Source organism: Homo sapiens, chromosome 12 (genome assembly GCF_000001405.40).
Source record: "Homo sapiens chromosome 12, GRCh38.p14 Primary Assembly".
Classification (NCBI taxonomy): domain Eukaryota; kingdom Metazoa; phylum Chordata; class Mammalia; order Primates; family Hominidae; genus Homo; species Homo sapiens.
Window position 1 is genome coordinate 69,032,154 of NC_000012.12, and position 22,495 is coordinate 69,054,648.

Consider the following 22,495-nt stretch of genomic DNA (forward strand, 5'->3'; position numbering starts at 1 on the left):
CCTAGTAACAGGCCACCTGTGGACTGACTGGTCCCTGGACCACCTCATGAATTGCACTGCTCTGAAACCCAGGCCCAAGGCAAGGGCCCCTCTTTTGTGTGTCTCAGGGGAGCACTGCTCCTGAATTATAAGCTTTAATTATTGGCTACCTTCTAGATATATTTACATGGATAATGATAATAGTAAACTTATTAAAATCATAAAACTATCTGATACCGGGAGCTTAGCATGTGGCAGGAATATAACAATGAGTAAGAAAGAGGTTTCCAGCCTCACAAACCTTAAATTTTAGTGAGAAAAATAGGTATTTTAATTATGATGACATCTCTTTGAGATAGGTCTTATCCACATTTTACAGATAGTTATAGAGGTTAATATGTCCAAGTTCTCAGAGCTAGCAAGTGGTGCATCAGAGCCTCAAAACTAGGTCTTACTGGCCACAAACTCATGCTTTTCATCACTTATCTATGTTGTGAAATCTCAAAATCGTGTTTTAAAAAACTAAACCTTGTTTTTTCTACCCAGTTCTCCAGAGCCCCCCATCACAACCAATGATGTTGTTGTCCTCCTTGTGTCTTATAGCAGAAACCCAGAAACCTCACAATGGCTCTGTCACTCCCTCAGAGCATCTCTACCAACCTCCCATATCCTTCCTCTCCTCATTTCCAGGCCTGATTCAGACCAAGAAATATCAGGTAGTAGCCTTCACATCTTCCATGTCTCCCTCCTCCATTCTTCACACTAAACATAAGGCATAGTAAATTATTTCCCTTCTTATAAACCCATACTTCATAAAGTGAAGCATTATATGAAGATGAACTCTGATCAAGTTATCATGGTGATCTACTAAAAATTTTGTATTTGAAAATTTGACCATAACTGTCTTCTTTAAAAAAAAAAGTTCACTTTCACAGCATCTATTTCAATGTTGTAGTTAGTCTCAACTTGCAAGCAGTTGTGAACATCATTACTTATCTGTCTGTGGCATGACCTTCATGAGTGATAAAATTATACTCACTTTTCTTTTACCACATCAATTTGTATGTTGATGATAAACTTTGTCTATTTGATTTAATTACAGAATGAAACCCTAAGTATTAGTCTACAGCTATGCTATAATGTGGCAGACTGGCTAGGTGTTCACCATGCTGTTCTATTTTCCTCCTGGATCCAGTAGACATTCTTCCAGGCAGGTGGGGCCACGTGGTTGAGTTCTGACTAAAAGGAGACAGGTAGAAGTCAGGAAGGTGACCCATAAAACCTCTCCCAGAGTTTGCCATGTGATTTCCCTACTCCCATTTGCTGGGCAGAACTCAGAGATTCAACAGAGGACATTGAATATAAGAAGTTTGGGTCCTTGAATGACAGTGGGGAAGAGAGTCTAACCCCTCTCCAACCTACGTTGGACTATTCCATGAGATGATTGTGCATTAAACTTATGCTGTGTTCAACCACTGATTGTTTGGGGTAAGAGCAGTAACTAATATACATAAATAAGTAGATGAATAAAATGGATACATTAAATGCATAAAATGTTTACTCTTTTGTCTTTGTTTTGTTTTTGAGATGGAGTCTCAGTCTTGTCACCCAGGCTGGAGTGCGGTGGTGCAATCTTGGCCCACCGCAACCTCTGCCTCCCTGGGTTCAAGTGATTCTCCTGCCTCAGTCTCCCAAGTAGCTGGGTCTACAGGCACCCACCACCACGCCCAGCTAATTTTTGCACTTTTAGTAGAGATGAGGTTTCACCATGTTAGCCAGGCTGGTCAAAATGTTTACTTTCTCATGAAATCCGTCTGTGGCAAAACTCTAAATAGTAGAGTTTATGTACTCTAAATAGTGACCTGGATTTTCTAATAACAACCCAGAGGACTTTCCTGTTTGGATTTATTCAGGCTCAGGTGACAGAGCTATAAATTTATGTAGCTAAATATTTAGCAGTGTTGACAAAACTGTTTCTAGTAATTAATGGCACATCTGGAATTAAATTCTCTTTTTCTTCATCCTTTATTCTATGTTTACAATCCCACCAGATGATACACCTAGTTTAAATGGTCTTAAATAGAGGCTGGGCACAGTGGCTCACACTTGTAATCCTGGCACTTTGGGAGGCTGAGGCAGGTGGATCACCTGAGGTCAGAAGTTCCAGACCAGCCTGGCCAACATGGTGAAACCCCGTCTCTACTAAAAATACAAAAATTAGCCAGGCATGGTAGCGTGCATCTGTAATCCCAGCTACTCAGGAGGCTGAGGCAGGAGAATTGCTTGAGCCCAGGAGGCGGAGGTTGCAGTGAGCCGAGATTTCGAGATTGCCACTGCACTCCAGCCTGGGTGACACGGCAAGACCCTGTCTCCAAAAAAAAAAAAAAAACAAAAAAAACGAAAAACAAAAACAAAAAAGGTCTTAAATAATGCCCACTTAACTAACTTTTTAGTTATTTCCTTCATCTGCAATTGTATTTTCTCTTTTTGGGCTCAAACCTTTTCTATAAAATTGTATTTAATTCCACAGTCCTTTTCTTTATTATTTGTTATCAGCATGATTTTATTTGTGACTAATTAGACCAATCCTCACGGCAAGAAGAATTAAATAAAATAACATTTCTATTTTAGAAGACCCAAAGAAGTACAAGAGTTAGTTACAATTTTAATGGACTTACAGATTTCCAATAATAAAGACAATTAGGTAATAATATGATTTAAACTCAAGGGGATGGTCTAGGACACCCACCCTTTTTGAAAATTATAGAAGCTCATTATGGTCACTATTAAAAGGATCTGGGCTTCATGTGACCCATTAGAATTAAATAAAAGGATGGAATCCTGTGGTCTGGACAGGAGCTTTCTGAGTACAATTAAGAAGCTCAGTGCACTGGGTCAAAAACATCAGCTATGGTTTGGGCTGACGTTATTTTCTCATTGAAAAGATTTATTATTAAATAGAAAAATGATGAAATAAATAAAACTCAAATTATTTATACTTCCATGTTAAGTTTAGAATAATCTGTGTTTTTCTTGTATTCTAAGTGCTTGCAGTATTTAAGAATTTGGCATTTTAAGGAATCTAGCAAGTTGTGATTCCAATTTAGAAAGAGTTAATTGGGTTGATTTAGACTTCAGAGGAATAAGATAATTTTACTTGGATTACAAGCAATAATGGAATAATTAAAAGAACTTAAGTTTAACCATCTTTGTAAATTTAATTAGATGTACAAGAATTATATAAATATACAATAAAGTTCATTTGATAACCAACTAAGGCAAAAAAATTTATTTATATTAAAATTATAAGTATAATTTTAAATGCTTAAAAGATTAAGCTGTAAAGGCTAAAATGTGATTATTGAACTCTTCTAGATTTGTATTAATAAATGCAACAATAAGATTTATAAGTTGACATCTTAAGAAAGAACAAAACTTTTTCAGTTGTCATTTAAAATGTAAAGGAATATAGAAAAGACCCGAGCAATCTTTACAGGGCATGAAAGCCACCTCTAAGAACACCAAAAATCTCCCCTGAAAATTTTCTTTCTTTTTTCCCCTATTGTCCTGTAGCTGCCCCTGACACCAATATCTTCTTTTTCTTCTCCTAGCACCAAAATGCTATGCATCGCAAAATAAAAATTTAGAATGTGATCATCTTTAAGCAATAATTTGTAAAATGTTTTGTAAATTGAAAATGAGACCTTTGCAGGAGAGGAAAATAAAGGGAAAAAGATTCTAAGTGGATTTATTACCACAGAACTGTATGTTTAAAAATGGTAAAGATGAGGCCAGGTTGGGTGGCTCATGCCTGTAATCCCAGCACATTGGGAGGCCAAGGTGGGTGGATCCTGAGGTCAGGAGTTCGAGACCAGTCTGGCCAACATGGCGAAATCCCATCTCTACTAAAAATACAAAAATTAACTGGGTGTGGTGCGGGTGCCTGTAATCCCAGCTACTCAGGAGGCTGAGGCTGGGGAATCCTTGAACGCAGGAGGTGGAGGTTGCAGTGAGCTGATATCTCACCACTGCACTCTAGCCTGGGCGACAGAGTGAGACTCCGTCTCAAAAAGAAAAAGAAAAAAAAATGGTAAAGATGGTAAATTTCATGTTTATTTTACCTCAATAAAAAAAGGAAAAAGAAAAAAGTTTTAATGAAATGTTTGCTTTATTCTTTCATGTTGTCACTTACTGGACTTCTGGACATTGGTCTGTACAGGTACAGAAGCCCTCTCATGCCATAAAGGTAAAAGCAATAGCAATAACCTATTAAAATAACACTAAAGCTGCAAAGAATTCACTCTTTTGCATGAGTGTGGCAGACAAATATTAAATGTGGATGAATAATTCTTTTTAGTCTCAGCATCCTTGAATTTGCTTGGTCCTTGAAGTAATTGCTTGCAGCATCGTTTACAAACTTCTTTTGAAAGTGACAGATGATAATCTTCCCCAACCCGAGCATCTTTGACATTGAAATGTGCAGTGTGAGGTTTCTAATAAGTCCATATGGGGTAGTGAAGCTCGAATGGTGCTCCACAAGCCCTCCAGGTTCCGTAGGGACTCCGAGGTGACAGCCTGGGCCTCCTTCCTCCTTCAACCAGAGCAGCTTCACTTCCGTCTCTTTTACATATCAGGCTTCTTGTCAGATTTCATTTAAGAGCAGCTTTCATAGCTTTGCAGATTCTGAAAACCACTGGGCCACAGTAGGCTTTTTCCAGAGCAGTGGAAACACTGTGCGAGGAATGTAAACTGCACAATGGGATGATATTAACTTGAGGGATCACTGGGCTGTTTTTTTTCTAAGAAATGTAAAGAGCTTCACAAATACTGACTTGGGGAATTTACTAGCCCTTTAACTAAACTGCAGGGGCAACCACCCTACATTATTTCCTTTGGAAATAAGATCATTCTTGTTTTCTTGGATATTTGAAGACTCTTCTTGCTTATATTTAGAAACTTCTCTCATTTTATTTGGCACTGATGATATAGCCTAGCCTTGTGAGCCTGTGGGCTATTCAAGGTTGCCAGTGTGGCAGAACAAGTCTTTTTATGTCTGCTTTCCTAATGCTCAACAGCTACTGAGCCTAAAGTAATAAGAGAGAGCTGTTTAAAATTTAACTCGAAACCAAGAAGGAGACAACGACTCTTAGCATAATACGAAAATGCTAGTAGGAGGTTTTGTTTTTGTGTTTGTGTTTTTCACTGTGTGCAAAAGCTCAGGTTGTTTTTTAGATGCTTTATTCCGTGGTCCTGCAATCAGACTGCCACAGGGGCCTCTGTGACTCTCTTGCTCCATTCATCTTTCAAGGTTTTTTGTTTTTTTTTTTGACAGAGTCTTGCTCTTGTCACCCAGGCTGGAGTGCAATGTCGTGATTTCAGCTCACTGCAACCTCCACCTCCTGGATTCAAGCGATTCTCCTGCCTCAGCCTCCTGAGTAGCTGGGATTACAGGTGCCCACCACCACGCCCGGCTCATTTTTTTTGTATTTTTAGTAGAGATGGGGGTTCACCATGTTGGCCAGGCTGATCTCGAACTCCTGACCTCAGGTGATCCACCCACCTCAGCCTCCCAAAGTGCTGGGATTACAGGTGTGAGCCACCTTGCCCGGCCCACTTTTCAAGGTTTTAAGGACCTTCCACCCTACTTGACCCATCCCTCATCCATCACAGGAGCTTGAATTGACTGAGAATGACCAATACCAATGACCAATGACCGGGGCAGAGGTTGGGAGGCAACACAGGAAGTGGAATAGAAAGGGTTAGAGATGGCTGAGTGAATGTGTTTGGGGGGAAGAAGACATAAGGGAGAGGGGTGTCAGGGTAGTAGGTGGTGATCTGAGTCATGTGAGGTACCCAGGCCTCTAGAGCCAGGGCCCTGTTTCATTAAAAATCTCCAAAACCTCTTTTGCCTTAGTTGAGACACAGCGTTTGAGCCTTCAGTAAGGACCTGAGTGAGGGTTCTTCAGGATTCTAAGTGTTTGCTTGACTTACAGTTCTACAATAAAATTATATTTTAGAGAAGATTTGAATCATTATTTTAAGATGTGGCAAAATGCAGGCACAATGCTCTCTCTAGATTGGATCACACTTTTAAAAAAATCGCAGTGACATGGAAGTTTGAGGACACTTAGAGTCCGGTTGAAAAGATTTTCTGGTCTCTTATTTTCTCCATGATATTCCATGCTAAGCAATATTCAATTTTTCCTTACCACTTGCAACGCTGGTCTGAAAATGAAGCTTTTTACTTTGTCTGAATGACTCTGAGCCTTGAGCTGGCATTACCCACTAGACAGCACAATCCAGTAGATCCTTCCATGATGATAGAAATATTCCATATCTGCAGAATCCAATATGGTATCTACTAGCCACATACAGCTATGGAGCACTAGAAACGTGGTCGATGCCACTGAAGAGCTGACTTTTTAATATTTTTAAATCAATTTAAATTTAAATACCCTCACGTGGCTAGTAGGTAATGTCTACATTCTTGGGGGTAGAAAAGAGAGGGCATGTTCATGCATTGCTGATGAGTCCAGCAGTCCTGGTGGGCTGCATTTCCTAAGGTGGGAGGCGTCTTCTCAGTCATTTTATTATTTTTTTCAGGGAATAAATTATAGGCCCTTTGTGACAATCACTCATAATTTTCCTATGTCGTTTGGGATGCCAAAGGGCAAGCTTCTACATATTTCTAATAGCAATGTTAAACCACAAGCAGGCACAATCTTTAAGAAGATTTTGGGCAAAATAGAGCCTTTCTCTGGGAAGCGGCACCCAGAGAACTTTGAACAAATAGTCCAGTCTTTTAATTCTACCCGCTTTCTATGAGAAGGAAAAACTGTTACCTAGTGATGTCAGAGGTCCCAGATCCTGGGTGGGATAAGTTCCTGAGGTCCTCTATCACTATTACCCTTCCCTGTAATGACAGGAGACCTCATGCTGGAGAGAGTGGTAACTCCCTCTGGTCAGCAATTTGACTCCATCCAAATCCAGTTATTAGTCCAACATAACTGTGATTTTGAACACTTATTTATTGGGCACCTCTTCTGTGCTAGGTGCAAGGGTTATCTCCTGTAATCTTTATAACAATGAAATCAATACTATTATTATCCAATTATGTAACCAAGGAAACTGATGCTTAGCAAGGTTAAGTAGCTTTCTCAAGGTCAAGGTGAGTGGTGGAGCAAGCAGGTAAACCCATGTGTGTCTAAGGCCACAGCCTATGCTCTAGTCACCAGGTAATCATTGATCTCTCTGGAATATCCACAGTTGGAAAGCAAGGACTTTGCAACTTGCTGCTGAATGTATTTCTTTTCTTTTCTTTTTTTAGACCGAGTCTCGTTCTGTCACCAGGCTGGAGTGCAGTGGCGCAATCTCGGCTCATTGCAACCTCCACCTCCCAGGTTCAAGTGAGTCTCCTGCCTCAGCCTCCCCAGTAGCTGGGACTACAGGCGCACACCAACACACCCAGCTAATTTTTGTATTTTTAGTAAAGACGGGGTTTCACCATGTTGGCCAGGATGGTCTCGATCTCTTGACCTCGTGACCCACCCACCTTGGCCTCCCAAAGTGCAGGGATTATAGGTGTGAGCCGCTGTGCCCAGCCGCCGCTGAATGTATTTCTTACCACCAATCTGTTCAGTCATTACTATTCCTTCCCCCTTTCCTAAGTACCATGGGAAATGAAGCATAAAGCACTCAAAGTCCAAGGAAAAGGCAACATTCAGGATTCAGTTCCAGAATGTCTGCCTCTTCCAGACCCATGCTCCCACCAGTTGGCCATGCATTCTCAACTTGCATGCCTATGTCATCTGTCTCTTCTGACCCTGAAGAAAGCTTCTATTCACTCCATGAGCACCTGCACCTTCACTGAGTCAATAGTGAGTGGCTGCTATCTGCACCAAAATCCATTGCTCAATATTCTTTCTTCTCCATTCCAAATGGTTCCTCATTTCTGTGAAAGCCCACATGGTCTTACCATATGTCTCGTTGTCTTGGTAGTAAACGCATTTTTAAAAACAAATATGTCAGCATCATTTTGTTTTTTTTCATTAGTGGTCTCATGTTACAGTCATAACAGGTTGCATAATGGTTACATCTAGTACAAAATAATGCTATTGTGTTTTCTCTTGGAGGCTGTTATCTAGTTACATTGCTTGTGACTAGCTAAGGAGGATATTGTAGAAAAACAAAGACCTTCAAGGTAGACAGACCTGACTCTGAATTCTGACTTTATCATCCATTCATTTAAAAATATTTATTCAAGGCCAGGCGCGGAGGCTCATAGCTGTAGTCCCAGCACTTTGGGAAGCCGAGGCGGATGGATCACCTGAGGTCAGGAGTTCAAGACCAGCCATGGTCTTGAAATCCCATCTCTACTAAAAAATACAAAAAATTCGTTAGGTGTGGTGGCACACGCCTGTAATCTCAGCTACTTGGGAGGCTGAGGCAGGAGAATTGCTATATATATATATTCCTGGTACGTAGTAGGTCCTGAATAAATATGTATATATACTCCAATTTTAACATTTCCTATGCCCCTTCCCTGCTTTATTTTTCTCCTCAGCATATCATTGGCTAATATAGCTTTTTCTCCTCATTTGTCTTGATTAATGTCTATCTCACTCCACTTGAACATAAGCTCCATGAAGACAGTGTTTTTTTCTTTTTCTTTTTCTTTTTTTTTTTAATACAGTCTTGCTCTGTTGCCCAGGCTGGAGTGCAGTGGCTCAATCACAGCTCACTGCAGCCTCGAACTTCTGGGCTCGAGCGATCCTCCCACCTCAGCCTCCCAAGTAGCTGGGTAGCTGGGACTATAAGCATGTGCCACCATGCTCAGCTAATTTTTAAAAAGTTTTTCTTAGAGATGGGGGCCTTGCTATGTTGTCCAGGCTGGTCCTGAACTCCTAGCCTCAAGTCATCCTCCTGTCTCACCCTCCCAAAGCACTGGGATTAGAGTTGTGAGCAACCATGTCTGGTGTTTTATTCACTGCTTCATCCCAGCACTTAAAATGATCCCTGGCACATAGTAGGTCCTGAATAAATACGTGTGTGTGTGTATATACATATATACACACACAGATATATACACATATATATACATATATACACATATATACATATGCATATACATATATACATATATACACATATATACATATGTATATACATATATATACACATATATACATATGTATATACATATATATACACATATATACATATGTATATACATATATATACACATATATACATATGTATATACATATATATACACATATATACATATGTATATACATATATATACACATATATACATATGTATATACATATATATACACATATATACATATGTATATACATATATATACACATATATATATGTGTATACATATATATACACATATATATGTGTATATATATATATATACACATATATATATGTGTGTATATATATATATACACATATTTATTCAGGACCTACTATGTGCCAGCAATAATAATGTATTGATTGATATATGCCTGGCACATAGTAGGTCCTGAATAAATATGTGTGTGTATATATATATATATGTGTGTGTGTGTGTGTATATGTGTGTATATATATGTGTATATATGTGTATATATATGTGTATATATGTGTATATATGTATATATGTGTATATATGTGTATATATATGTGTGTGTGTATATATATATATACACACTCAGGACCTACTATGTGCCAGGAATCATTTTAAGTGCTGGGATAAAGCAGTGAATAAAACACCAGACATGGTTGCTCACACCTCTAATCCCAGTGCTTTGGGAGGGTGAGACAGGAGGATGACTTGAAGCTAGGAGTTCAGGACCAGCCTGGGCAACAAAGCAAGGCCTCCATCTCTAAGAAAAACTTTTTAAAAATTAGCTGAGCATTATAGTCCCAGCTACCCAGCTACTTGGGAGGCTGAGGTGGGAGGATCGCTTGAGCCCAGGAGTTCGAGGCTGCAGTGAGCTGTGATTGAGCCACTGCACTCCAGCCTGGACAATAGAGCAAGACCGTATAAAAACAAACAACAAAAAAAACAGAAAACAAAACACTGTCTTCATGAAGCTTACATTCAAGTGGAGTGAGATAGACATTAATCAAGACAAATGAGGAGAAAAAGGTATATTAGCCAGTGATATGCTGAGGAGAAAAATAAAGCAGGGAAGGGGCATGGGAAATGTTAAAATTAGAGTAGCCCGGAAAGGCTTAACTGAGAAAATGTCATTTGAGTCAAGGTTTAAAGGAGGTGAGGCAATGGATGTGCACACATTAGTCTAAATTTCTAGATACTTGATTTACTCAACTCTAAAGTGGGAACAAAAGCCACCTTGTTAATGACTTGTTCTGAGGATCAAGCCCAGTCATGAAGGGTATGTGGCCCAGGCATTGAATGGGTACATGACGGCAGCTGGCATTACTGTTCGTCATCGCCAGCAGCAGCAGCGCCATTAGAAACAGCCACTTGCTGGAACTGGAGATGGGTCATTTATACATTTACTATCCTCAAATGACCCTGCTGAGGAAACTCAGGTAATAGTTGGATTCTGAATATTGAATGAAATATGCTAGCCTTGGAGGAGCGACATGTGGTTTCAATATTTCTATCAGAATCTTGGCAGGAAATAAAGGGTGCCCTCATATTGGATAATTTGAAGAGTTTAAAAGAAGGCTATTTAAAAGATCGTCAAAGTGTAGGGAAAAGAGTAGTGCAGTGCCCAGAATTAGTAATGACAAGCACTGCTACCACCCCTCTATCCCCCATCCATCCCAGACCTGACAGGACAAGAGGAGAAGGTGCTTACCAGAGGCAGAGTCAGAGGGCCCCATGGAGAGGGCGCATGACGGGGCATGTGTGGCCTTTGGTGGGGAGATACAGCCAGCCTGCAGTGACTCCACAGAAAGGGAGCTGGAGAGTGAATACACCAGTGTCATTCTCCTTAAGCCCATCAGGGCTCCCCACTGGCCAACCCAGCTTGAAGTCACAGGGCAAGAGAGCCTGTGGAGCCGCTCCTGCAGGTCAGCCTCCCAGGGACCCAGCAGGTGGAGAGGGTGGGAGGAGCCCAGGCAGACACCCAGCAGAGTAGTGAAAGCAAATCAGTCATGACTCCCAGTGAGCCAGGCCACTCACTATTACTATTCTCCTCTGTGTTCAGGGAAAGCAACCCAGTTCTTTCCTTCCTTAGACGACCCTTTCACCACATTTGTTGCTTTCCTCTGGGTACTGCTCTTCCTCCTGCCCCTCCTAAGGTGCAATATTTGGTCAGGTGTTTGAGACATAACCAGATACATTAAAAATAAGGCCCAGTTGTGCATAAAGCCAGAGACTATACTGCTAAGCCCAGCCCATCTCTACCCCAGGAATGGTACTGGGACAAGAGTGAGATGGTCAGTTTGTCACTCACCAACATGAAAAAGGCAAGGCCAAACATGGTCTTGTCCAAAAGTGTATCAGTGTCACCGTTTTATTTTTTTAATGGGGCTCAAGCTATGACATTAAGTAAAAAAGGAACCAGATGTGAAACCATGTAAACAATACAATCTCAACCATGTAATAATTATGTGAATGTATAGAAATAAGACTAAAAAGAAATACTCAAACTCTCTGCATTGATTATTTATAGAATGTAGATTAGGATGATTTTTTAAATCCCTTATCCATATTTTTCCAAGTTTTATCAAGGAAAAGTTGTTCCTTTTAAAATAAAAGAGAAAACAGTAAAAACTTATTGCTGTTTGTTTTTTTTTAATAGAAGGAACATGACCTGTTTCCTGTAATTCACATCTCTATTTATCTCCCCAGTAAGTTATAACTTTCATTTGTGGGAAACTTTATTCCAGGATCACTAAAAAAATTTTTTTTTTACTAAACTGATTATTTTGTTGTTTGTAAAGAAAATGATTTTATAGATAATTTTGTGGTTTTTTTGTTTTTTGTTTTTGTTTTGTTTATTTTTTTTGGAGATACAATCTCGCTGTGTCCCAGGCTGGAGTGCAGTGGTGCAATCTCAGCTCACTGCAACCTCTGCCTCCTGGGTTCGAACGATTCTCCTGTCTTAGCCTCCCAAGTAGCCACCCGGGATTACAGGCGCCCGCCACCATGCCTGGCTAATTTTTGTATTTTTAGTGGAGATGGGGTTTCACCATGTTGGCCAGGCTGGTCTCGAACTCCTGATCTCAAGTGATCCACCCACCTTAGCCTCCCAAAGTGCTGAGATTACAGGCATGAGCCACCATGCTTGGCTGATAATTTCTAAAAAGAGAATGCTAAGCAGTTTAAAATATATTTTCTAAATGCTGGTTTACTTTTGATTCATGTTTATATGTATAATACTAAAAGTATGCTTTGAGAGCTTCAGTCCGTGGGCGTCAAGTTTATTCTCACCAGCTACTAAAATTCTTAGGCTAGAAATATATAATTATAAAACATTAAATGTAATCTAATTATCATTTTCTTATATTGGATTAACCACAAAGTGGATCCAGAGAGACGGCTGTTTTAGTACAGTGCAATTTTTTCTTTACTCTAAGCCCAATCCTGTTTTGCTCAACAAATCTTTTCTGAGTACATGGCAGGTATGCCTGGCACTGGATTAGGCTCTGGGAATATAACAAAGAATGAGACAAAGCTCCTGCCCTTAAGGAGTAGCAGCAGCAAAGACAGAAGTCTAAGGAAATGATTTCGATCCAGCGCAAGAACAGCAAAAGCTAACTGCAGCGGGTTATGAAAGCCCAGAAAAGCCACTCAAGTAAAAAAAATTAATAAATAACAAATAAATAAATCCACCTAACCTACTTGCTGCTGAGCTTGCCAACTCCTTGGTGACTGGAACTCTTTGTTTTTTATTTTTCACTGGGCTGATCAGGATGGAGTTCAGTGTAACCAGGCTTGAGTGGTAAGAGACGTCTCAACAGGCCTGATTCTGCTCAGCTGCCCACGCCCTCATCACCCTTTCAAAGGTGAGGAGAGCTGCATCCTCAAGAGACAGGAGCAATGACTCACTGAGGCCAGCTGCCCCCTTCAAGGCAGCATCTCTTAATTCAGGACAGTATTCTCTGCTTGCTTGGGAGAACCATCTGCTTGCAAGTTGCCAAGAAGTTACAAAGTTGGTTTTGGTAGTGGAATGGAGAAGACAGAGAGTGAAGAATAAAATAATGCTAAAGAATTTGGACTTTTTTGGGGAAAAAAAAGACTTCATTTTTGGGGAAAAAAAAGACTTCATTTTTGGGAAACGTGGAGTGCTGTGAATGGTGGATGGTTTTGTCATAGGCTGAGGAGCCACTGCAGGTGATGAGCAGAGAGCTGTTGCATAGAACGTAGGCAGAGATGCTGTTCAGGTGGCGTGCCCTGGTTCAGCCGAATAGCAGATCATGGTAAAGTCTGCTCTACCCGGTTGGTGCTTGTGCCAAGCAATGCCAATTATTAAATGCTTGGACCATCTTCCCTACAGGTATGTGTACCTTAAATAGCTGTGTCAGCAGACAGGTACCTTTCTCGTTGTTCCCTCGAGCCTGTTTATGTTTAGTCACTGAGTTGTAAATTCTTACCATAATGGAAGAGTTAATGCCATAGGTTTTAGTTCAGGCATGCTTTAGTTTGGGGCTTAAATGTGACTGTGTGTGTTTGTCTATAGAGACAGGGTCTCTCTCTGTCACCCAGGCTGGAGTGCAGTGGTGCAATCGTAGCTCACTATAATCTCAAACTCCTAGGCTCAAGTGATCCTCCTGCCTCAGCCTCCAGAGTAGCTAGAACTACAGGTGCACATCACCATGCCCAGCTAATATTTTAAATGTTCTGTAGAGACAGAGTCTTACTATGTTGCCCAGGTTGGTCTTGACCTCCTGGACTCAAGAGATCTTCCTGCCTTGTTCTCCCGAAGCACTGGGATTACAGATGTGAGCTACCGTGCCTGGCTGTGACTCAGTTTAGATTTGGAATATTTGATGATATTAGAATAATTCATCATGTAGACCTTCTCTTTTTTAATAATATCCTGAAGAATTTTGGTAAATTTTACCTGCATCTTGTAAGCAAATCTTCACCTTTCCCATACAATTACATCATTCTCTCTAGTCCTGTGAATTCTTTAAAAACCTTAATCTTTTATAATTATATGAAGCTTGCCTTCTTTAAGATGTCTTTTGTTATTGGTTGTAATTAGAGCCCCCTAAATATTTTAAATGCTTCTTTAATAAAATGGAAAGTCAGGATTCAAAACCTATTAAAACTCTGCCAGGTTGTCCAGCTGTCCCGGCCACTCTTTTAGCTGAAATCCTAAAAGCTGTCTGAGATCTGGAAGAGATCTGGAACAACTGGGACCCAAAGTGCCATGGAAATCAGCAGATTGGCCACACTTTACTCTGGTTTCATTCTGTCACAATGACTCTAAACTATCTATTTCAGCCCAAGGCCAAAGGCTCTGTTGACTGACCAAAGTTACAAACCACAGTAAAACTTTTTTTGCCAATTGTCCACCGCAAGTTAATAAATGAGAAAGTTTAGGGCCCCTGGCACAGTGTTCTCTTTTCAGGAGTGAAAATGACTTTTTATTAGCCACCCTAGCCTTGCCTTTTTTTTCTTTTCTCATTCCTTTCTTGCTGGAACAAAGATTTAGACCACCAGGATTGTAGTACTAATTAAAACATCAATTTGTTACCAATAAGAAACTTAATTAGCAGAAGGAAAAATGTAATAGTGGAGATAAATGGAAAGAGTGCCAAGCTTCCGAAAGGTAAAGGTGATAGCTAGTATTCGTAAAGCTGTCTGCTGTTTACCCCTGCTGTTTTACATACTTAACCTTATTCAATCCTGACAGTGGTTGCTATTCTCCCCTTTACAGGTGAGGAACTGAAATTGAGCACTTGAATGCCTGGAACCACATATCCAACCAATGGCAGCCATTGTCCTCTCAAAGCCGGTTCACTTGTTCTCAAGACACTTTATGTCGAGCCACAGCTACTTCATGTACTGGGAGCACCACTCCTGAAGAAGCTGACTCAGCTTCAATGCAAGGAAGAAAGTCTGACTAGTTAGGTGGAACATGGGATCTGTAAAGCATGGTGCTGTGCAAGAGGTGGTGGAATGCATGGGCAAATGATCTCTGGAGACTCTAGCAATCATTCCGAAGTCTGTGTTCAAGCAGTAAACAAACAGCACACTCAGTAACCAGTATTCTTGTAAAGATGGAGGATGGTAATTACATTCTGTGACTAGAATCAATGGGAAGTCGTTAATACTACTGGCCCTGAAAGGGTAAGGGAAGGCAGTTACCAGCAAGAGCTGTTGCTGGTGGCCTGGGGCTAACCTGACAAGTGCTCTGACTTGGGTGGCAGTATTAGGTAGAGAAAAGTAGCTACAGCCAAATGATAGCCTGGTACAGAAGGAGCCAGGGAATGAACAAGCTGACCACTCTCTCCTTGCTATCTGATCTTTTGCTGGTGCCTCTCACTGGCTAAGCCCAACCAGAAGTCGGGAGCACAGGAACCCAGGCGATGCTATCTGTGGAGGTCAGCTTCCCAGGGCACAAGGTATAGTGGAGATGAGTGAAGAGTGGGTCTGGAGTAGGATGGGCAAATGGAGAATATCTAGAACAGAAGCTTTTTCCAGACTAAGACCATATCATCCTACCCTTGAGGGCTCCATTTCCTGGCAGACTTGCATGCAGCATATAGGACTTCGGGATTCTTCCCTCTTTTTTGCCCCCTCAGGAACACCCCTTCCTTATCTCAATAATGACTTGAAAATTGCTGGATACTTTGGGGTATTGGATATTAAGGTGCTTATGTAAATTGCTTATAGTCCTATAGAAGAAAAAAGACATCATGATGATATTGCAGATTTGCACTCAACATCCATTCCACTTTAAGCGTGCTTTTTTATGCTACAAAGCCTGGAATGCTAAAAAAACAAAAATGAAAGCAAACCAGGGGCCATAACATCTTCCCCTCCTGCTCTTTCTGCTCATAACCATGGCCACAGAGCTCTTGGTTGCAGGTGATCAGAGGTGGGGTCCAGGGCGTTCACTTTGCTGGTGCAGATTGCAGCAAGGTAATATAATGCTGAGACTGGAACAGTCACCAGATCATAGTGACTTCCTGATTGTGGTGGACTCCCAATTGTGACAGTGGTGACATGATTTAAGAGCCAGTGGCTTTTTAGATCATGGAGGCAACAGCAGTTCTGTTGGCGACGTGGCTCTGCTGATGGTGTGTCTTAGTCCATTCAGGCTGCTATAACAAACTACCCTAGACTCAGGTGTCTCATAAACGGTATTTCTCACAGATCTGGAGACTGGGAAGACGAAGATCAACCTACCAGCAGATTCAGTGTCTGATAGAGGTCTGCTTCCTGGTTCAGAGGTAGCCATATTTTCACTGTAACCTCATGTGGTAGAGGGGGGCAAAGGATCTCTCCAGGGTCTCTTTCATAAGGGCACTAATCCCATTCATGAGGGCTCTGCCCTCAGGACCTAATCACCTTCCAAAGGTCCCATCTCCAAATACCATTCCATTAGGGATTGGGTTTCAACATATGAATTTTGGGGGCAACACAAACATTCAGTTCATAGCATGGTTCAACCTAGATTCTTACATGAAGTTCAGGGTTCCAAGAGTAGTCTTCCAGTAAATAAGGAGGAAGCTGCATGATCTTTTATGATCTAGCCCTAGAAATCACATGGCATCACTTCCACCATACTCTCTATGTCCACCTAGATTCAAGGAGTGGGGACTTAGATGCCACTTCTAGATGGGAGGAGTGTCAAAAAATTTGCAGCAATGATTTAGAGCCATCACAACTCCCTCCACAGACCCCATGCCCCATCATTCCACTTACCCTGTGGCTCTAGTCAAAGCCTCCACCTGGAATGGTTTAGATACTTGAAGAATCTCACCTTTAGGTCAAGGGCTAGACACAATACAGGTACTGATGCTCCTAACATTGTGTTTAATAGAGAATTAAGGGCGAAACTTTTTTTTTTTTGAGACGGAGTCTCGCTCTGTCACCCAGGCTGGAGTGCAGTGGCGCGATCTCCGCTCACTGCAAGCTCCACCTCTTAAGGGTGAAACTTTTTGACTAGCTTCCTAATGTTTTGAAATTTCCATTACATTGCCAGAAAAGGAATCAAAATATAGTCTTGCCTAGAAAAGGAGAGAAACCTTACTTTTGGTAATCCTTGGACCAGCATATTACCAAAATAGAAACTTGGACACACAAGATTAAAATGTGGGTCTAGTGATGAGTTGAGAGAATTGTTCCAGGATCAAGGCCAAAACCCAGGTTCTCCAACGAAGGCATAAGATCATAGCAAACTGCACATCAAAATTCACTTGATTCTGTGTCATTATCTTCATATCCTCCTGGGTAACTGCATGGTTGGTCTTGGAACCGAGACAGCTAAGCCTGGTATTGGGTGCTTTGCTTCTGTTCAGGAAAGAATGTGCTGCTCAGCAAGTTATTGATCTTCAATAACACTGACCAACATACATTTGTTGAGTAGATCCTATGTTTCAGGCATTGTTAGGCTCAGGGCAGATGTAGAGAAACAGATAGTGTTTTTCCCTGAAGGAGCTCAAATCTCATAGAGGAGATAGCAATAGATGAGTGAGCAAATAATCACAATACCATGTGATAAAATAGTATACCTGATCACCTCAATAGATGCAGAAGAAACATTTGACAAAATCCAGCATCCTTTCAGATTAAAACTCTCAGCAAAATCGGCGTACAAGGGACATACCTCAGTATAATAAAAGCCATCTATGACAAACCCACAGCCAACATAACACTGAATGGGGAAAAGTTGAAAGCATTTCCTCTGAGAACTGGAACAAGGCAAGGATGTCCACTTTCACCACTTCTAATTCAACATAGTGCTGGAAGTCTTAGCCAGAGCAATTACACAAGAGAAAGAAATAAAAGGCATCTAAATTGGTAAAGAGGAAGTCAAACTGTCACTGTTTGCTGATGCTATGATTGTATATATAAAAAACCCTAGACTCCTCTAAAAAGCTCCTATAACTGATAAAATAATTCAGCAAATTTTCCAGGTACAAAATTAATGTACACAAATCAGTAGCTCTCCTGTACACCAACAGCAACCAAGCTGAGAATCAAATCAAACTCCTTTTACAATAACTGCAAAAAATAAAATACTTAGGAATATACCTAACTGAGGAGGTGAAAGACCTCTGCAAGGAAAACTACAAAACACTACTGAAAGAAATCATAGATGACACAAACAAATGGAAACACATCCCATACTCACAGATGGGTAGAATCAATATTGTGAAAATGACCATACTGCCAAAAGCAATCTACAAATTCAATGCAATTCCCATTAAAATACCACCATCATTCTTCACAGAACTGGAAAAAAAAATTCTAAAATTCATATGGAACCAAAAAAGAGCCCACATAGCCAAAGCAAGACTAAGCAAAAGGAACAAATCTGAAGGCATCACATTACCTGATTTCAAACTATACTATAAGGCCATAGTCATCAAAAGAGCATGGTCATGATATAAAAATAGGCACATAGACCAATGGAACAGAATAGAGAACCCAGAAATAAACCCAAATACTTATAGCCAACTGATCTTCAACAAAGCAAACAAAAACATAAAGTGGGGAAAGAACACCCTATTCAACAAATGGTCCTGGGATCATTGGCAAGCCACATGTAGGAGAATGGAACTGGATCCTCACCTCTCAGTTTATACAAAAACCAACTCAAGACGGATCAAGGACTTAAATCTAAGACCTGAAACTATAAAAATTCTAGAAGATAACATTGAAAAAAACCTTCTAGACATTGGCTTAGGCAAGGATTTCATGACCAAGAACCCAAAAGCAAATGCAATAAAAACAAAGATAAATGTCTGGGACTTAATTAAACTGAAGAGTTTTTGCATGGCAAAAGGAACAGTCAGCAGAGTAAACAGACAACCCACAGAGTGGGAAAACATCTTCACAATCTATACATCTGACAAAGGACTAATATCCGGAATCTACAATGAACTTAAACAAATTAGCAAGAAAAAAACAAACAGTCCCATCAAAAAGTGGGCTAAGGACATGAATAGACAATTCTCAAAAGAAGATATACAAATGGCCAACAAACACATGAAAAAATGCTCAACATCACTAATGATCAGGGAAACGCAAATCAAAACCACAATGCAGTACCACCTTACTCCTGCAAAAAATGGCCTTAATAAAAAAAAATAGATATTGACATGGATGCGATGAACAGGTTACATTTTCTACACTGTGGGTGGGAATGTAAACTAGTACAACCACTATGGAAAATAGTGTGAACATTCCTTAAAGAACTAAAAGTAGAACTACCATTTGACCCAGCAATCCCACTACTGTGTATCTACCCAGAGGAAAAGAAGTCATTATATGAAAAAGATACTTGTGCACACATGTTTATAGCAGCACAACTCACAACTGCAAAATCATGGAACCAATCCAAATGTCCATCAATCAGTGAGTGATAAAGAAACTGTGGCATATATATACACGATGGAATACTACTCAGCCATAAAAGGGAATGAATTAATGGCATTCACAGCAACCTGGATGGGATTGGAAACTATTATTTTAAGTGAAATAGTTCAAGAACGGAAAACCAAACATTGTATGTTCTCACTCATAAGTGGGAGCTAAGCTATGAGGATGCAAAGGCATAAGAATGACACAATAGACTTTGGAGACTCAGTGGGAAAAGGGTGGAAAAGGGTTGAGGAATAAAAGACTGCAAATAGGGTTCAGTGTGTACTGTGCAGGTGATGGGTGCACAAAAATCTCACAAATCACCGCCAATAAACTTACTCATGTAACCAAATACCACCTGTTCCCTAAAACCTAGGAAATAATTTTTTTTTCTGAGACAGAGTCTTGCTCTGTTGCCCAGGCTGGAGTGCAATAGTGCAATCTCGGCTCACTGCAAGCTCTGCCTCCTGGGTTCATGTCATTCTCCTGCCCCAGCCTCCTGAGTAGCTGGGACTACAGGTGCCTGCCACCATGCCCGGCTAATTTTCTGTATTTTTTTTTTAATAGAGACGGGGTTTCACCGGGTTAGCCAGGATGGGTCTCAATCTCCTGACCTCGTGATCCACCCGCCTCAGCCTCCCAAAGCGCTGGGATTACAGGCATGAGCCACCGCGCCCGGCCAAAAAAAAGTTTTTTAATTAAGTGCTAAGTGTTATAGGTGCACAAAAACGGGAGTGATCTGTTTTAAAGCCTTTGGTAAAAGACGACTTTTGAGCTGAGTTTTGTCAGGTTAAGAAGATAGCAAGAGCCTCTTGAATAGAGAAAACATCCCGTGAACAATATTGAGGTGCGAGACTATGTTATATACAAAGAACAATGGATAATCCTATGAAATTGGGGTGTTGATTTTAAGGAGGGTGAGGTGGAAGTGAAAGCTAGAAAATGGATTTGGGTCGGATTTTCAAGGTTTTTATATTTCAGGCTAAGTTTGGGGGTTTTACTCATAAACAATAGTCGAGGATGCAAAAGAGTAGAAAATGTGGCAAAACATGCGTGCTATACAAGCTGTTTTTCATCAGTGAGGCCAAGAATGTCCTGCGACTCAGAGCTTTGTCATCTTTGATGTTTTGCAAACCTCTTTTGGAGCCAGACTCCAACTGCAAATTTCAGACTTTCTCTTATGTTTATGACCTTGTATTTTTCAAAAGGTTTAAAATTTCACATTGCTGCTATGTTCCATCCAGTGAAGGCAAGGTTACCTGCCAGAAATAATCTGAAAGGCAAACAGTACAGTTTTACCAGTTTCTCTGTTATGTCATTCATTTCCAAGTAAAGAATAGATCAACAAACAGACAAAATCCTTTTTGTCCCCAGACAGAATTTAAAAGGTTAATTTTATACATGTTGGTAGATTGTTTTCTCCTACATGTGGTACAAACCACCCGCTAGAGGCAAATTACTTAAATCAGCTCTCGTAACCACACATACATATTTATGCAGCCAGCAGTGGGAGGTGTGGAGGGCAGGGGGATTCCAGGTGACTCAGTATGTCTGGCATCTGGGTCAAGAATTTCAACCGATGGCAGAGGGGTTGCCACCATAATAGGTGCTGTGTATGAACTGCCACCAAATCACTGCATGTGATTTGTGCCGTGTGAGGTCCTTACAGATCTGTTTTGAGGCTAGGCAACCCTTAATGTGAAGCAGCTTTGATTTTTTCCAGCTCATTCAGCATGGACGGCCTGGAGGACTTGCTTTCCTGCTAGCTTCTTAGGTGTCTAACTCCTAGTTAGTTGTGGTAAGTCTGTCCTGGAGTTTAAATTTTCCCAGTATTGACATAAATCACTGCACATTGGAAAATTTCTAGGTGGCTCAACTATATGCAGCACATGGTGCCCAACGTGGGGGAACGTTCATTTTTCTCTCCCATTTCTTTTAAGTGAAACTGCCATGAAAAGTAGACATTGAACTGTATTTTAATCAGTATTATTCCTCTTTCTTGCTGTGGAGATATCCAGTTACCTTGCACTGACAGATCTTTGTCTTAGGAAGATCCATCTGCTTAGCCCCTTTTAGCAAAGGGCCCAGATGTTGCTGCAAATAAATTGCAAACTGGCACAAAAGCCAAGGAGATTCAAAGGAGAAGGTTAGGAATGCCAAGCCCCTTCCTTCTTTGAGATGTTAATAAAACATCTATACTGGATTAAACTGGCCACAGTACAAGGCCACGAGGCAGACAGCACTATGACCCCATGGAGAAGCTCACCTCTGGAGAGAACAATGTGGCACAAGATTTCAGTTTCTTCCCATGGCCTGGGTAGTCATGGCAGATGGTTCGACACGGGCTGATGTGGGAGACCCTCCTCTCTGACCCTCCTAGACACTCCACCACTGTGCGTGGCCTTGAGGAAATGACCAAGAGTGAGTTTAAACCATATAGTTCTCTTTCTCAAAAACTTTTAGTTTTTGACTTAACATCTTAAATATAAACATCCCAACTGGATATTCAAGGCCCCAAAATCTGACCCTGAAGTTCTTTTCCCAGGTTGTTTTTCCAAATGACCCCTACAAGGTTGCTCTGGTCGGTCGACTTGAATAGCCTGATATGCTCCTTTCTCACCTCCTTGCCTTTGCTCGGTTGGGAACATTCTCCCTCTTTCTACGTATCAACACCCCGCTCACCCTCTGAGACCCAGCTCATATGTAACTTCCTCCAAAACTCCTCTCCTAAATCCCTCCCACCAAGATTTCCTTCTCTGGTTTACTTTTCTCTTGCACGTTTCCACTGCTCTTCATGCACTTATGTACTGGAGCCTCATCTGTTTTTAGCCTGTACACTGAAAGACACCATTGTAGGTACTGTGAGTTGCAGCCCAGAAACACAGGAGATCTGTAAACGGTTACTGAATTGCAACAAATTGTGTTGTCAAAGGTCACACAGCTGGTTAGCGATAGCAACAGAGGTAGCAATCACCTTTCCTGACACCTAATCTGAT

The 22,495-nt window shown here is 40.8% G+C and overlaps 3 annotated features.

Moving 5' to 3' along the window:
- Positions 10,448 to 10,949: an enhancer, noted in NCBI's record as "H3K4me1 hESC enhancer chr12:69436381-69436882 (GRCh37/hg19 assembly coordinates)". NCBI's record gives its function as "activates a minimal SCP1, AML or CMV promoter by ChIP-STARR-seq in primed H9 embryonic stem cells {active_cell/tissue: H9 hESC(primed)}" and the evidence as "EXISTENCE:reporter gene assay evidence [ECO:0000049][PMID:30033119]".
- Positions 10,950 to 11,449: an enhancer, noted in NCBI's record as "H3K4me1 hESC enhancer chr12:69436883-69437382 (GRCh37/hg19 assembly coordinates)". NCBI's record gives its function as "activates a minimal SCP1, AML or CMV promoter by ChIP-STARR-seq in primed H9 embryonic stem cells {active_cell/tissue: H9 hESC(primed)}" and the evidence as "EXISTENCE:reporter gene assay evidence [ECO:0000049][PMID:30033119]".
- Positions 21,418 to 22,015: an enhancer, noted in NCBI's record as "H3K27ac hESC enhancer chr12:69447351-69447948 (GRCh37/hg19 assembly coordinates)". NCBI's record gives its function as "activates a minimal SCP1, AML or CMV promoter by ChIP-STARR-seq in primed H9 embryonic stem cells {active_cell/tissue: H9 hESC(primed)}" and the evidence as "EXISTENCE:reporter gene assay evidence [ECO:0000049][PMID:30033119]".